Genomic DNA, 16,894 nt, shown 5'->3' with positions numbered 1-16,894 from the left:
GGTTGAGCCATCAGGGCCTCCAAAGGGCTTGGCAATTTTTCATTGAAAACAAAAAACAAAAACAAAAAAACTCTTAAACTATGTCTACCCAAAGAATAAATCCTCTACCCTTCCAGGGTAAGGGATGGACAGCTGATGGAATTACAGACCCAGGAAGCTCATGGTTGCCAGTCATTGGGTAGCAGAGGACATCCAGTCTCATTCATTGTTCCACTCATCTCTTGCGGCCCAACCAAGCAGCCCCAAACTGAGTGACTTAAAACAACTTGTTTTTTTGTTTGTTTGTATGTTTTTTTGAGAGCGTTTCACTCTTGTCGCCCAGGCTGGAGTGCAATGGTGTGATCTTGGCTCACTGCAACCTCCGCCTCCTGGGTTCAAGCAATTCTCCTGCCTCAGCCTCCAGAGTAGCTGGGATTACAGGCACCCGCCACCACACCTGGCTAATTTTTGTATTTTTAGTAAAGATGGGGTTTCATCATGTTGGCCAGGCTGGTCTCGAACTCCTGACCTCAGGTGATTCACCTGCCTTGGCCTCCCAAAGTGCTGGCATTACATGCGTGAGCCACCGCGCCTGGCCACAACTTGTTAAATCTCTCAGTTCTAGCCAGGTGCAGTGGCTAGAACTGTAATCCCAGTGGCCTGTAATCCCAGTAAGTTGGGAGGCCAAGGCAGGAGGATCACTTGAGCCCAGAAATTCAAGACCAGCCTGCGCAACATGGTGAAACCCTGGTCTCTAGAAAAAAAAGAAAAAAAAAAAAAGGCACGGTGGCTTGTGCCTGTAGTCCCAGCTACTGGGGAGGCTGAGGTAGAATCACTTGAGCCTTGGAAGTGGAGGTTGCAGTGAGCTGTGATTACACCACTGCAGTCCAGCCCGGGGGACAGAGTGAAACCCTGTCTGAAAAAAAAAAAAAAAAAAAAACCGCTCAGTTTTGGGAATTAACTAGAGTGAGCTGGTGGTTCTCTAGTCAGATGGCAGCTGAAGATTTCTTCATTCATTTGTCTGGTACCTCGGCTGGGATGGTTGGAGCATCTAGAGGCTTAGTGGGGTACCTCTTATGCATGTAGTCTCTCCGCATGGCTAGACTGGGCTTCTTCAGGACGTGGCCATCTCAGGGTGGTTAAACTTCATACATGGTGTTGGCTTCCCCCTGAACAAATGTCACAAGAGTCCAGGAGTTCGAGACCAGCCTGGGCAAAATAATGAGACCTTGTCTCTACAAAAAGTTTAAAAAATTAGCTCGAGCTGGGTGTGGTGGCTCATGCCTATAATCCCAGCACTTTGGGAGGCTGAGGCGGGCGGATCACCTGAGGTCAGGAGTTTGAGATCAGCCTGGCCAACATGGTAAAAACCCGTCTCTACTAAAAATACAAAAAAAAAAAAAAAATTAGCGGGAAGCTGGGTGTGGTGGCTCACACCTGTAATCGCAGCACTTTGGGAGACCAAGGCGGGTGGATCATCTTGAGGTCAGGAGTTCAGGACCAGCCTGGCCAACATGGTGAAATCTCCTCTCTACTAAAAATACAAAAAAATTAGCTGGGTGGTAGTGGCGCACGCCTGTAATCCCAGCTACTCAGGAGGCTGAGACAGGAGAATCGCTTGAGCCTGGGAGGCAGAGGTTGTGGTGGTGAGCCAAGATTGAGGCATTGCACTCCAATCTGGGTGACAGAGTGAGACCCTGTCTCAAAAGAAAACAAAACAAAAAAATTAGCCGGGCGTGGTGGCTCACGCCTGTATCCCAGCTATTCAGGAGGCTGAGGCAGGAGAATCACTTGAGCCTGAGAGGCAAAGGTTGCAGTGAGCCGAGATGGTGCCACTGCTCTCCGGCCTGGGCGACAGAGTGAGACTCCGTCTCAAAAAAATATATTAGCTGGGCATGGTGGCAAGCACCTGTAGTCCCAGCTACTTGGGTGGCTGAGGTGGGAGGACCACTTAAGCCCAGCAGGACAAGGCTGCAGTGAGCCTTGACTGTGCCACTGCCTGCACTCCAGCCTGGGTTGACAGAGCGAGACCCTGTCTCAAAAAACAAAAAACAAACCACAACAACAACAGAAAACCCATCAACAATTGGCCACAGTTATCCTTAAAAAACAATTGATCAGCCTCAATTGTGGGTCAGCAAATGGCTTTCAGATCTCTGGGATACACCAATGTCACCAGAATATTCCCTTTCTTCATTTTGGGGTAGAAAATGAAAACATTTCTTTCGTCTACTATTTAAATTAAGAGGCTAGGTCACCAAAAAACCCAGGCTTCTTTGAGGGTTTCCCCAGCCTGTTCCTTGGGACCAGAGACAACTGGTCCTACCAATGGAAGTGTTCCAGGCCTCTCCGGACCCCACATCTGGGCCCAGAACCAGAAAGACACCTCTTACCCCTGTCCTCAAAGTTGGCCTCATTCTGTGTTCTAAACCCACACTGCTCAGGATAATTAACAATAAGCATTCCATTCCTGCTGGGCATGGTGGCTCACACCTGTAATGCCAGCACTTTGGGAGACCTAGGTGGGCGGATCACCTGAGGTAGGGAGTTCAAGAACAGCCTGACCAACATGGAGAAACCCCATCTCTGCTAAAAACACAAAATTAGCTGGCCATGGTGGCCCATGCCTGTAATCCCAGCTACTCGGGAGGCTGAGGCAGGAGAATGGCTTGAACCCGGGAAGTGGAGGTTGCAGTGAGCCGAGATTGTACCATTGCACTCCAGCCTGGGCAACGAGAGCGAAACTCCATCTCAAAAAAAAAAAGAATTCTTTTTCTTCAGACAGAATCCCTGGCTCCACCACATCAGGCCCTCCTCCAGTCCTTTCATGAATTTGGATTTTTTTTTTTTTTTTTTTTTTTGATACTGAGTCTTGCTCTATCATGGCTGGAGTGCGGTGGCGAGATCTCGGGTCACTGCAACCGCCGCCTCCTGGATTCAAGCAACTTACCAGTCTCAGCCCCCCAAGGAGCTGGGACTACAGGCACATGCCACGACGCCCAGTTAATTTTTGTATTTTTGGTAGAGATGGGGTTTTGCCATATTGGTCAGGCTGGTCTTGAACTCCTGACCGCAGGTGATCCACCCACCTCGGCCTCCCAAAGTGCTGGGATTACAGGCATGAGCCACCGCACCCCGCCAAGTCTGGATTATTTTGATCTAACCTTGTTTCCATTTCCAAACAACAGCTGCTTTTTTTTAAATGGGTTGTTTATTAACTTTTTATTTTGAAATAATTGTAGACTCATGTGAAGTGGAAAAAGTGGTGCAAAGGGTTCCATGTGTCCTTCACCTGGCTTCCCCCAATGCTGATATCTGATGCAACTGTAGTGCAATAGCAAAACCAGGAAATTAGCATTAGTAAAAACTGTTAACTGGACTACAGACCTTATTCAGTTTTCGCCATGTTTATGTGCATTCATTTGTGTGTGCTTACGGATTTTGCTAAGATTCAAAACCTTGCATTTCAGGGTTTTATTTCCTTGTTTTAGCAACAGATCCCTCCATATACTCCTTATACGCCCATAGAGACAAATCAAATCACATGTAAAAACTCAAATCTATAAAGCAAAAGTGGGCTAGGTGAGGTGTCTCACGCCTATAATCCCAACACTTTGGGAGGCCAAGGTGGATCACTTGAAGCCAGGAGTTCAAGACCAGCCTGGGCAACATAGTGAGCCCTCATCGCTACAAAAAGATCTTAAAAAATTAGCTGAGTTTGGCTACTGCAGCCTGTAGTCCAAGCTACTCGAAAGGCTGAGGCAGGAGGATTACTTGAGCCCAGGAGGTTGAGGCTGCAGTGAGCTATGATTATGCCACTGCACTCCAGCCTGGGAGACAGAGCAAGACCCTGTCTCAAAAAAAAAAAAAAAAAAAAAAAAGTGGCTATTTTGATGAGGACCCCATCACTGTCCCAAGCATCAGCTATTTCTCTCTGAAGCACTTTTATAATCGTTAAGGTTTTGTATTTATTTTCCTGCTGGGTTGATTCAAGTTGATTTTATTCAACAGGCTACAAACTGCATGAGAACAGGAATCATTATTTTTCATTGTTTACCATTTATCCCCATAGTCTACCATGCCCAGCATGTTAAGGTTGTAGAAGCCAGCTTCCAAGATGGCCCCCAGTGAACCTGGCCTCCTGGTATTCACACCCACTTTGGCATGTTTTTCCTTTGTGCACTGAATAGGGTTAGGGTTCCATACAGGATGGTGGTTAAATTTGAATTTCAGATAATTTTTTAGTATTTCGCAATATTTTACGAGACATACATATACTATTATTCATTGTTTTATCTAAACTTCAAGTTTAATTGGGCATCCTGTATTTTTATTTACTACATCTGGCAACCCTATATAGGGCTGAATGTGTAACCAATAAGATATTGCAAAAATGGGCCAGGCGCAGCCGGGCACGGTGGCTCACCCCTGCAATCCCAGCACTTTGGGAGGCCGAGGCGGGTCCATCACGAGGTCAAGAGATCAAGACCATCCTGGCCAACATGGTGAAACCCCCATCTCTACTAAAAATATAAAAATTAGCTGGGCATGGTGACGCACACCTGTAGTCCCAGCTACTCGGGAGGCTGAGGCAGAAGAATTGCTTGAACCTGGGAGGTGGAGGTTGCAGTGAGCTGAGATTGTGCCTCTGCACTCCAGCCCGGTGACAGAGCGAGACTCCATCTCAATAAATAAATAAATAAATAAAAATAAAAAATAAAGAAAATAAAAAAATGGGCCAGGCGTGGTGCCCCATGCCTGTAATCCCAGCACTTTGGGAGGCTGAGGCAGGTGGATTGCCTGAGGTCAGGAGTTCAAGACCAGCCTGACCAATATGGTGAAACCCCGTCTCTAATAAAAATACAAAAATTAGCCGGGTGTGGTGGCATGCGCCTGTAGTCCCACCTACTCAGGAGGCTGAGACAGGAGAATTGCCTGAACCTGGGAGGCAGAAGTTGCAGTGAGCCGAGATCACGCCACTGTACTACAGCCTAGGTGACAGAGCAAAACTCAGTCTCAAAAAAAAAAAAAAAAAAAGATATTGCAGAAATGACAGTGTGACTCCAAGACTAGGCCATAAAAGACCTTGTGGCTTCTGCCTTGCTCTCTCTTGCTTTGCTCATTTTGAGGGAAGCTAGCCACTATGTCATAACGACACTTGGTAACCATGTGTAGAGGCTCACATGGCAAGAAACTGAAACCTGCCAACAACCAGCACCAGTTTGCCAGCTATGTGAGAGAAGCACCTTGGAAGTTGGTCATCCAGCCCTGGTCAAGCCTTCAGATGGCTGCAACCCCATGAAAGACCCTGAGTCAGAACCACCCAGCTAAGCCACTCTCAAATTCCTACCAAAAGAAATTATGTGAGATAATGTTTACTGGTGTTGCAAGCTGCTACGTTTGGAGGTAATTGTTATACTGCAATAGATAACATGTAGGTACTCATTAATTATTTGTTAATGACAAATGAATAAATGAATGATGAAGGCTGTGGTTTCTCCCCTTACTGTGTTTTGCGGATATTTAATTTCCAGATAAACACCCCGAGCCTAAGGAACCTCATGTTCCAGCTTTCCATATAAGGATAGAGTCTTCACGAATTCTTGAAAGATAAGTAGGGTAGAAACCATCTGTAAGAAACATTTAGAGGGAAATCAAATTGCTAATCTCAGCTGATCTGGGTTCTCAATTCTGCCAAGTTAAGGACACCATATATATTTTTGGGACAAAATGCAAAATAAGAATAAGCCATGTGCAACTGTATAATGTCACTGTCCTAGAAAAAGTACATGTGCTAGTCTTTAAATATATCAGCTTTGAAATGCCACTTATGGATTGTTTCTATGGTACCAACCTATTTAAAGTTGTAACTAAGTGACGATATTTTTTTCCCGAAATCTTTTGTAGGCAATATGGAAAGTGTGCTGTATGGCATAGGCTGTAGAAATAAGAGGTTAGGAATGTGGACTCTGGGGTTATAACAAACTACCTTAGAAGGCTGAAGAATCAAAGAGATGATGTCTGCAGAGTTTGGCTCTGTGGCCCTGAACACACAGGAATCATGATGTGGGACCCCATGCATGGTTTTGCAAAGAAAGCACCTGCCTGGGAGTTTGAGCTCCTGGGTTTCAGGCCTGGCCCTGTCCTTAAACTCACTGTGTGGTGCTGGCACCTCCACTCTGCCAGGGGCTCCCCCACCGCCTCAGCTGCGAAAAGAGAGGTATAGACCCATGAGTGCTGGAGGGCCCTGCCAGACTCCTTCTGCCCAAGGAGCCTTGTTGCTTTGGCAACCCCTTCTGCGAAGGCCACATGTCTGAGCACCTCATTGGGAATGTAGAAATGAGTGTGGATGTTCCCAAATCTCAAAGCAATGTTTTTGTTTTTTTTTTTCCCCTCTAGGAAATGACAGGAGATCACGATAGATATGAGACCTTGAACCTAAAGCTCTGGTTGCCTTGTAAAACTTTTCCTTGTTTTTCAAAGGCTGGGCATTTGATCCCAGAAATCCTGAAAAACCATGGATTTTTGAGACTGAAAGGGGTATGACATTGGGTTTTTAAAAATGAAGGCTGGCGCAGTGGCTCACGCCTGTAATCCCAGCACTTTGGGAGGCCAAGGCAGGTGGATCACGAGGTCAGGAGTTCGAAACCAGCTTGGCCAACATGTTGAAACCCCATCTCTAATAAAAATACAAAAAGTAGCCAGGCGTGGTGGCGCACACCTGTAATCCCAGCTACTCAGGAGGCTGAGACAGGAGAATTGCTTGAACCCAGGAAGCATATGTTGCAGTGAGCTGAGATCGTGCCACTGCACTCCAGCCTGGGTGACACAGTGAGACTCTGTCTGGGGGAAAAAAAAATTAAAACAAATAAAAAAACAAAAATTAGCTGGGCGTGGCGGCGTAACGCCAGCTACTCGAGAGGCTGAGGCATGAGAATCACTACAGCTGCGCCTGTAATGACAGCTACTCGGGAGGCTGAGGCATGAGAATCACTTGAATCTGGGAGGTAGAGGTTGCAAATGAGCGAAGATTGTGCTGCTGCACTCTAGCCTGGGCGACAGAGTGAGACTCTGTCTCAATAAATAAATAAATAAATAAATAAGAATATAGCCACAATCCTTTAGAAAGCTCTTACCATGCCAGGAGCTTTACATGCACTAATTATCACTTTCTGTTTTTGTTTTTCTCTAAACAACTCTCTTAGATCAGTACTGTCACTATCCCCAATCTACAGATGGAAAAATTGAGGTGTAGAGAGGTGAAGCAACCTGCCCTCGGGCCCATACCTAAGAAGTAGCAAAGTCGAGATTTGGATCCTTGAAGTTTTTACTCCAGAGCTTTCATTTTAAGAAATTGCAAAAAAGTTATTAAGTACAGAGAGAAACATTTTCCCTGTAATAATTTGAAATTAAGGTGACCATTTGATGCCTTATCCCCTGCCAAATACATTGATTTACTTTCCAGCAAACAAGAACATCCTCTGATGTAACTTAACAGGCAACCATGAAAATCAGGAAATTAACACGGACACATCATTACCACGGCATTGTAGGCCCCATTTAAACTTTTCCAACTGTCCCTGTAACTTCCTTTCAAGCAAAAAGATCCAGTTCAGAATCATGTGTTGTGTTTAGTTGTCATGCCTCTTTGGTCCCCTCCAGTTTGGAACAGTTCCAGGGTCTATCTTTGATTTTCATGACCTTGGCACTTTCTAAGATTACAGTTTTGTATACAGCATGTCTCTTTACGTGGGTTTGTCTGATATATCCTCATGATTACATCCAGGTTATGGATCTTCAGCAGGAATATCACAGGGGTGATGTTGCAATCTTCTCAGGGCATCCTATCAAGTGCCACATAACTTCACTTTGTCCCATTCCTGACAATGCAGACTCTGATCACTAAATCAGAGCCTGCACTCTTAACTACTCCATGACAGTCCACAAAGGTCCCTTCTTCAGAAGCCACAAAGTGAGTTCCATTTGGTGAAGTAAATCCACTAGCATCAGTCCCTCATGATCAAAGTAATTGCAGCTCCATAAAATCTGCTGTAAAGCCATAAACATAGCTACAGAAAAGCCAAGCGTATGTATGCTTTTGGCTTTTGGGCTACAAACAGATGTAAATACATTCAGGCACAGACTAAAAACACTTTTCTCCTCTGTTTCCCTTACTCTGCTCCTGGCAGGGCTTGTAGTCTGTTAGACCCTCTCTCCCGGCCTTCAATGCTAAAACCACATTTTCCATTTCTTTCCTGAGTACATACTATGTGTCAGGCACAATGATTCTACATGTCACTAAGAATACAGAGATCATTAAGACACAGTCATCATTCCTAAGCAGCCCACATTTAACTGGGTACACAAAAATTGTTGTTTAATTCTTAACAACTACTTGATGGTAGACTTAAGTATTTGACTCCAAGTCCCGTGCTCTTTTTACATTCCAACAATTGCCTCTTGAATCTTTTCATCACATAGAGCAGAGAGAGAAAAATTAAGCAAAAATTAATAGCTAACACTTCTTCAGCACCTACTGTTACCAGGTACGGTTTTCATTGCCTACAGTTTTATCTTATTGAATCCTTAACCATTTTGCAGAAGAGAAAACAGGCTTAGATGTAATGACTTGCCCAAGGTCCACAGCTGCTAAATTGCACTCAAGGTTGGAACTCCAGAGCCTGTGGACACTTAAATGTCTACAAGGAGTCCTTGGGCTAGTGAGGGCTTCCCAGGGAGGGCCCATGACTGTTCTGCTCATTGTATCACATTGGCCTAGCACAGGTGAGGGGCACTTAGTATATTTTAATTAGATCAATGAATAAATTAATGAATTTACCAACCTGCTGGAAACGAAAAGAATGGAAACAGCTCCTGGAGAGAATACTTGGGAACTCCAGAGTTTGCCCATTCATTCCTTCATTCCCTCTTAAACTCCTGCATAAAGGCCACTGCCCTGTGCCCACGACGGTGCTTATACCGAGAGCGTCAAAGATACAGGAATCACAGTCTTGACCTTCATTATTCCCATTTGAATGCTGTGTCCCAGGCCCCTTATTGTCTCACAGTATTTACCACAACTACCGTATGGGCTAATCCTACATCTCTATTTTACAGATTTACAATCTCAGAGTGGTAAAGTCTCCTTAGGCCAAGGTGGCTCAGCGGATTCCACACCAGTCATCACAGGCTGAGCGTCACAGTACAAAGCAGGAGCGGCAGGGAGGCCGATTCCGCGGGGAAACCACTCCCCAGCTATTCTAGGCCTTGCAAATCCACCCCTCCTATCTAAGATCCCAGCCGGCCGCTCTGCAGCCATATCCGCCGTAGCGTCCCACGCTGCCCTGGCAGCCAGCAGGACATCCGCTGTCGACTAACGTCATTTCCGGCGCGCCGGCCACGGTGCTTCCGGGTTCTGGTGTAGGAGCGGCGTCTTCTCGCGCGGATGGTGAAGCTGAATTTGGTACGCTGGACCCTCGGACAGGTGAGCACGGCTGGCCACAAGGGGACTCAGCGCCAGTGAGAGTAGGGACGAAGGCTCAGGGAAGGCGAGCTTCGGTCCAAGCCGTTGGGGTGTGGGGAGGGGAATCCATTTCGTAGACAGCTCTGCCGAGGCACGGAGAGGGGCGGTGCTGCTTGGGGTCAACTGGGATTTAGGGCTTGGATTCATTTAAGAACCTGAGCTTCCTTCACCAAACCTAGACAGCAAGAGAGAGACAAGCCCGAGGCCTGACTTCTAGCACTCCTGAGTTTGAGCCCTATGAGCAGTGGAACCTAGGGTAAGTTACTAACTTCTCTGAACCTCCTTTTTCTTATCTGAAGCATGAAAACTAACGGTACCTACCTTGCAGAAGTGTCTTGATGCAGACAGTTGATAATCGGTCTCAAGCGACCAGCATGTACCTAGCATCTACTGATAAAGGCTTCATAACTTGTGACTACTCGGGGCTTATTACCATTTACTATGCCCACGCAGGCAGTGGTATTATTTAACTTTATGTATTTGAGATTCCCCGTCTTTTCTGAAAATCCTTCTGTCCTAAACACTCCTGGAAGAGGTTGGGACCCGTTGCACCCAACCGGTGCACCAGTGAGTAGAAGAAGGCAGAGATAACGTTTTGCCAGAGGTGACCAGAGTTTGACACTGCCTGTGGAAGTAGTGAACTCCGTGTGCCTTAAGGCCGCTTTCAGCAAGACAAGAATCACAATTGCTGTCACCTATGGAGTGTATTATTGTGTAGTGCACCATGCTTGGCGCTTCACGTGCATATTTAATTCTCATACACTGGGTATCTGATAGAGTTGAATTTGAACTCAGGCTTCGATTTTAGCCTGCCTGATTTTACAGTCACTTTGCTAAGTTTACTCCCTAGTCCCATAATAATAATGATGATTGTGATGGTAAATACTGAGTGTCAACTTGATTGGATTGAAGGATACGAAGTATTGATCCTGGGTGTGACTATGTGGGTGTTGCCAAAGGAGATTAACATTTGAGTCTGTGGGTGGGGAAAGGCAGACCCACCCTCAATTCAATCTGTGTGGGCATAATCTAATCAGCTGCCAGCACGGCAAGAATATAAGCAGGCAGAAAAATGTGAAAAGAGAGACTGGCCTAGCCTCCCAGCCTATATCTTTCTCCTGTGCTGGATGCTTCCTGCCCTCGAACATTGGACTTCAAGTTCTTCAGCTTTGGAACTTGACTGGCTCTCCTTGCTCCTCAGCCTGCAGACAGCCTATTGTGGGACCTTTTGATCGTGTGAGTTAATAGTTAATAAGCTCCCCTTTATATATGTATGTCTATTCCATTAGTTATGTCGCTCTAGAGAACCCTGACTAATACAATGATTAACCTAATCATGGGACTAAAGTAGAAGCTATCGTTTCTTGAGCACTTATTTTGAACTCATTGAATTTGCTTTGTAAGCCTTCTCTAAGGTTGGTATGGTAGTTAATCCCAATTTAAGAAAGACAACTGAATCTGGTCACCCAGCTACTGTGAGGTAGATTCTCTATATCAATCTCTGGACATCTGACTATTAAAATAGTGTTCATAATTACTACAGTCTTTCAGTTCATCAGAAGAAATTCATGTTTTGTGAGGAAAACTGAAAATTTTGTTTCATCAAGTAATGTATTTCAAAAAGCATATTCTAAAAAAAATCACTCTCCTAGGACCACCAAGGATCCAGATATAATTCTTTCCTCAGTAATAGAAAAAAGAATCTGGGATCTAAGAAGATACCTACTCATTTTCTAAGGTAATAATGTACAAAATAACCTACTTAGTTATTTTTGTGTGGTTTGTGTATGTGTGAATATGTGTGATATTTATGATATTGACTAGGACAAGGAGATATGTACTTTTAAAGAATCATAGACTGTTAGGAGTAGTATTTTGTTCACCTGTTTTAGTACTGATTGTTATCTAAAAGTAGGTTTTTAATATCTTTTTTATTGAATAGTAATGCTGACTTTAATGGACTTTGAATTTGGAGAAAGTTCTGAAAGCAGCAAGGAATAGAGACTCACAAGGAATCCTTCGACTGCTGCCCCCAGGACTTACGGCCTGTGCTCTTTTTGTCTCTTCCTTTAGTGACTGGCCATGTCATTGTCCCACTTATACCGGGATGGGGAAGGCCGCATTGATGATGATGATGACGAGCGGGAGAACTTTGAGATCACTGACTGGGATCTCCAGAATGAGTTCAACCCCAACCGACAGCGCCACTGGCAGACCAAGGAAGAAGCCACCTACGGGGTGTGGGCAGAGCGAGACTCGGATGATGAGAGGCCCAGCTTTGGAGGCAAACGGTATTGCCTGGCATGGGGGCTGCTTCACCTTGCTTTAGGGAAGAGGGGGAAGATGGACAGGGAGTGGAGGAGATACCCTGATAAGTATACTTCTCACCTGGCCTTGTTGAGACTGTTAGCTGTGACATCATCTCGAGAGGTCTGGTTTCCTCTTTAGGCTAGAGTGCTGCTCTTTCACTGATTTATTCTATTTATTATTATTTTTTTTGAGACACGGTTTCACTTTGTTGCCCAGGTTGGAGTGCAGTGACGTGCTCTTGGCTAGCTGCAACCTCCACCTTCCAGGTTTAAGTGATTCCCGTGCCTCAGCCTCCCGAGTAGGTGGGATTACAAGCAAACGCCACCACCTCCAGCTAATGTTTGTATTATTAGTAGAGACGGGGTTTTGCCATGTTGGCCAGGCTGGTCTTGAACTCCTGACCTCAAGTGATCCACCCACCTCAGCCTCCCAAAGTGCTGGGATTACAGGCGTGAGCCACCACGCCTGGCCTCACTGATTTAATTATCAGTGTTTATTGAGCGATTGCTATGTATTAGGCCTGTGCTATAGACCCATTCTTGCCTTCCTAGAGCCCAGACATTAGAAGATGGAAATAGGCATTAACAACTCAGACGATCAAACTTGTGACTGTGATGCAGGACATGAGGGACATGAGGACATGAGGGAGAACACATTTTAGGGCATTTCATCTATTCTGAGAGGTCAAGGAAGATTTCTGTGGAGAAAAGTGACCCTTAAGCTGATATGACTGACAGTAGAAGGTAACTAGGGTGGTAGAAGAGGTCCCAATATGCAAAGGCCCTTGATGGGAAGCATCACGGTATCCACAAGGATATGAAAGGCTTGGGGGCTGGAGCAGAGAGGGGGAAGGGTAGCATAGTGTGTGTGATAGAGAGGGTGTGATGTGGGGCTGGGTTATGTTTTGAGAAGACCCTTTTGCTGGTGTGCTCAATAGGCATGGAGCCACAGTGGAAGACTGTGAGGAGGCCAAGCCAGTGGTCCCTGCACAGGTAGTGGAGGACTGGTCTAGGATAGTGGTGGGCAATGAGGATTCAGGCTGCACGTCTTCTCCCCAGCACAAGGTTATGTGTGCCCTGGCTGAACCTCACTCAACCAGGGTGTGCCAGGTTGGGGGTTTTTTCCTCCATGGCCTCACCTGTGGCCTCTAGGCTCTATCCTATTGAGAGTGTGCCTTTTTCTTTTTCTTTTTTTTTTTTTTGAGATGAAGTCTTGCTCTGTCGCCAGGCTGGAGTACAGTGGTGCAATCTTGGCTCACTGCAACCTCTGCCTCCTGGATTCAAGTGATTCTCCTGCCTCAGCCTCCCGAGTAGCTGGGACTACAGGCATGTGCCATCACACCCAGCTAATTTTTGTATTTTTAGTAGAGACGGGGTTTCACCATGTTGGCCAGGATCTCTTGACCTTGTCATCCGCCTGCCTCGGCCTCCGAAAGTGCTGGGATTACAGGCGTGAGCCACCACACCCAGCTGAGAATGTGCCTTTTTCAAAGGAGGCTGGGGGAGAAAGAGTATAGAGATTAGTCCAAACTTCTCATCCACAAGGAAGTCTGAAAGTGGATGACAAATAGATCAGGGAACAAGAATTGCATAATCATAAGATAATAATAATAGCTAACATCTCTTGGCTGCTTACTTGTCCTGGCTATTTCATAAACCTGGATTAATTTTCCTTATGAGAAAGGTACCATTATTGTCCCCATTTTACAGATTAAGAGACTGAGGCTAATGGTCATACAACTAGGCAGAGGCTAAGCTAGAATTGGAACCTGGACCTATCTGACTCTAGAGTTTGGGATCTAAATCACTAAGTTATATTACAATTTTAGGAAAAAACTCCCTAAATTCTGTTGTTGCCCTGAGGGTGTTGAATTACTAGGTTGGTCATTTTACAAGGCATCCCTTTATTTGCTGTATTCCCAGGTTTTCTTTTTTTCTTTGAAACACAGTCTCTATTACCCAAGCTGGAGTGTGCAGTGGCGTGACCTTAGCTCACTGCACCCTCTGTCTCCTGGGTTCAAGCGTTTCTCATGCGTCAGCCTCCTGAGTGGCGTGGGATTACAGGCGTGTGCCACCACACTCAGCTAGTTTTTTGTATTTTTATTAGAGATAGGATTTTGCTATGTTGGCCCAGCTGGTCTTGAACTCCTGGCCTCAAGCCTCCCAAAGTGCTGAGATTATGGGCATGAGCCGCTGTACCTGGCTCCAGGGTTTTTTATTGTAATTTTTTCTTTTTTAAACCACACAGTACAAATATATCAATTTTATTTTATACAAAAAAGACCTGAGGTTAATGGCTTAATGTAAGTACTTGAAGCAGTCAGAGTTTAAATCAATATATTTCATTTTATAGAGTTAATTTCTTATTTCTTAGGGGACTTTAGTGTAATTTTCTTTTCTTTTTTTTTTTTTTTTGGAGATAAGGTCTCACTCTTTTGCCCAGGCTGGGGTGCAGTGACATGATTATAGTTCACCGCAGCTTCAACTTCCTGGGCTCAAGCAATCCTCCCATCTCAGCTTCCCATGTAGTTAGGACCACAGGCTTGCACAACCATGCCTGGCTAATTTTTATTTATTTTTTTTTTATAGAGACGAAGTCTCACCATGTTGCCCTGGCTGGAAATTTTCACATTCAAATAAATTTAATGGCTAGGAGCTTTTTCTAAGTTTGATTAATATAATTGTTACATGCTTTACATTCATATAATCTTTCAATGGGTTTTATTTATGATTTTCCATCAAAATTTCTGCTCCTGTTGGATTTTTGTACTTGAAATAGTTTTCAAAACAATTGCTTTTTATGATAAATTAATTTTTTAAAATGTAGGAAAATTGTATTATCACATCATATTTTGAATTTGTAATCAACCCTACATTGATGTGATAACTCTTCAGCCGTAGAGGGATATGTCAGGTAAAATGTTAAATGTGACTACAGGAAGCCAAATCTGGGGTCCTTTGGATTTTTTGACACATTAAAAAATGTGTTACTTTTTTAAAAAACCTCCCATGAGATTCACTCTAAGGAGTCTTCAAGCACGTAGTTTCTGCAAAAGGATCGCTGCAGAGAAAAGAGTTCTTTACCGACCTGGTGGGGCTTTGTTTCTGTGCCTACAGGGCCCGTGACTACTCTGCGCCAGTCAACTTCATCAGCGCAGGGCTCAAGAAAGGGGCAGCGGAGGAGGCAGAGTTGGAAGATTCTGATGACGAAGAGAAACCTGTTAAGCAGGACGACTTTCCTAAGGATTTTGGACCAAGGAAGCTAAAAACGGTAGTCTCTATTGCAGGATTGTGACCCTAGGAATATCCTTCAAAGGTCATTGTGGCCCAAGCATTTTCTAGCCAGGGAGAAACTCATCTGGAATGAATTTCGTGAGTGTCTCCTTTTGGTGGCAGGTTTCTGTGAGTTGTGAAGTGTGTAGTGCAGTCTCTTCCTTCCTGACACGTTATCACACACATTTTTGGTTCATATGACACTTTTCATAGTGCTGTATAACTTAGGCCATTTTCCTGTTGGCCAAGCTTTCTTAGATTTTTCTTCATTTTGTTTTTCCATTAACTAAGCTTTGATTTTTCTTTTTTGCAGGGTGGCAATTTTAAGCCCAGCCAGAAAGGTTTTGCAGGAGGAACCAAATCTTTCATGGACTTCGGCAGCTGGGAAAGACACACAAAAGGAATTGGACAGAAGCTTCTTCAGAAGATGGGCTACGTCCCTGGACGGGGCCTCGGGAAGAATGCACAAGGTATTGCACCTTTGTCGTCTTGCATGATGGAGGAGGGCAGGCATAGGGAAGGAGAGGGGCGTTGGGAGAGGAGGTTTGCTTTTCCCTTTTAAAAGCACTTTATCTCTCCAGCCTGGTTTGCCAGCACAAGACATTTGCGTTCCTAAGCTACCTTGCTTTATCAAAGCTCAAGTTAAATAAGTAATTGTTTCAACAGCAAGGAAAGGGTTAGGGTCTAAAACAGGCTGCAAACAGGTTGAAAACAGGCTTTTTTTCTGGTCCTGACCAGTGCTTCTAAAAACAAAAATGAGGCTGGGTGTGGTGGCTCATACCTGTAATCCCAGCACTTTGGGAGGCCAAGGCGGGTGGTGGATCGCTTGAGGTCAGGAGTTCAAGACCAGCCTGATGAACATGGTGAAACCCCGTCTCTACTAAAAATACAAAAATCAGTTGGGTGTGGAGGCATGTGCCTGTAATCCCAGCTACTCAGGAGGCTGAGGCAGGAGAATCGCTTGAACCCAGGAAGTGGGGGTTGCAGTGAGCCGAGATCACTCCAGCCTGGGCAACAGAGCGAGACTCCATCCCTGAATAAATAAATAAATAAATAAATAAATAAATAAATAAATAGAATAAATAAAAACAAAAATGAATTAGTTGCTAATATTTAAAAAACAGACAATTTCACCTAAAATTCTAGATTTTGCCTGGCAGTAGTTAGTTGAGGCAAGTGAGAACTGCTCCTGGGACGATGGACATGGCCTTCTCTTGGAGGCAGTCTCCATTACCCCCTGTTGTCTTCCACCCCAACCCACAGGAACTTTTCTTGGTCCCAGAGTCATTTGAGTTTGCCATCCCTACTCACAAGGGTTTTAATTTTGTGGAAATAACCCTATTTGTCCTTCAGGAATATCAGTAAAACATCGTGCATAGTTTTTGTAATAGCTAGAGCCATATGGCTATAAAACTGGCTGAGCAAATCCTGCATTGGTTACTTCCATCTTCCTCTAGTAGCCCAGTCTCCTCCTGTCTTCTCATGGCCAGCCCCATTGAGACACAGCCCCTGTCACACTCTTACCTTCTTGAGACCAAAGCCTCTCAAACCAAACAGTTGGATTCTTCCTACAGGAACATTTCCCCCTCTTCTTGAGCTATTTCCTATGCATGATTGCCAAGTAGATATAATCAAATGTATCCTACATATTCAAATTCCAGTCTCTAAATAATAATAATAACATTATTATTTTTTGAGACAGAATTTCACTCTTGTCACCCAGACTGGAGTGCAGTGGCACGATCTCAACTCATCTGCAACTTCCACCTCCTGGGTTCAAGTGATTCTCCTGCCTCAGCCTCCCGAGTAG

General features: G+C 44.8%; 1 protein-coding gene and 1 long non-coding RNA gene across 8 annotated transcripts in view, besides 3 other annotated features; one reads left to right on the top strand and one right to left on the bottom strand.

The window, feature by feature from the left end:
* Positions 1 to 7,288: 7,288 nt before the first annotated feature.
* Positions 7,289 to 9,325, bottom strand: TFIP11-DT (TFIP11 divergent transcript). Its single transcript, NR_144529.1, has 2 exons — positions 8,823 to 9,325; positions 7,289 to 8,445 (listed from the first exon to the last, which is right to left on the bottom strand). It is a non-coding gene; the product is annotated as a TFIP11 divergent transcript (long non-coding RNA).
* Positions 8,562 to 9,099: an enhancer, noted in NCBI's record as "H3K27ac hESC enhancer chr22:26908724-26909261 (GRCh37/hg19 assembly coordinates)". NCBI's record gives its function as "activates a minimal SCP1, AML or CMV promoter by ChIP-STARR-seq in naive H9 embryonic stem cells {active_cell/tissue: H9 hESC(naive)}" and the evidence as "EXISTENCE:reporter gene assay evidence [ECO:0000049][PMID:30033119]".
* Positions 9,322 to 9,501: an enhancer, noted in NCBI's record as "active region_18792". NCBI's record gives its function as "activates an Ori minimal core promoter by ATAC-STARR-seq in GM12878 lymphoblastoid cells {active_cell/tissue: GM12878}" and the evidence as "EXISTENCE:reporter gene assay evidence [ECO:0000049][PMID:35858748]".
* The window catches only part of TFIP11 (tuftelin interacting protein 11), a 21,234-nt gene continuing 13,723 nt past the window's right edge, over positions 9,384 to 16,894 (top strand). Inside the window, exons 1-7 of one of the 7 annotated variants that reach the window (NM_001346857.2) lie at positions 9,384 to 9,463; positions 9,682 to 9,758; positions 10,704 to 10,738; positions 11,155 to 11,240; positions 11,576 to 11,793; positions 14,929 to 15,082; positions 15,398 to 15,554. In NM_001346857.2, the coding sequence (NP_001333786.1) occupies positions 11,585 to 11,793; positions 14,929 to 15,082; positions 15,398 to 15,554 (520 nt within the window). In that variant the 5' untranslated portion in view covers positions 9,384 to 9,463; positions 9,682 to 9,758; positions 10,704 to 10,738; positions 11,155 to 11,240; positions 11,576 to 11,584. Of the gene's footprint in view, positions 9,464 to 9,681; positions 9,759 to 10,539; positions 10,739 to 11,154; positions 11,241 to 11,575; positions 11,794 to 14,928; positions 15,083 to 15,397; positions 15,555 to 16,894 lie in introns of all 7 variants that reach the window. The other 6 variants (NM_001008697.3, NM_001346858.2, NM_001346861.2 and 3 more) reach the window with 6 other exon arrangements.
* Positions 14,578 to 15,777: an enhancer, noted in NCBI's record as "BRD4-independent group 4 enhancer chr22:26902046-26903245 (GRCh37/hg19 assembly coordinates)". NCBI's record gives its function as "activates an origin of replication core promoter dependent on BRD2, P300/CBP, MED14 and CDK7 cofactors, and independent of BRD4, by STARR-seq in HCT116 cells {active_cell/tissue: HCT116}" and the evidence as "EXISTENCE:reporter gene assay evidence [ECO:0000049][PMID:35650434]".

This window comes from Homo sapiens, chromosome 22, assembly GCF_000001405.40.
Source record: "Homo sapiens chromosome 22, GRCh38.p14 Primary Assembly".
In the NCBI taxonomy this organism is placed as follows: Eukaryota; Metazoa; Chordata; class Mammalia; order Primates; family Hominidae; genus Homo; species Homo sapiens.
This window is presented reverse-complemented; position numbering and strand designations above follow the sequence as displayed.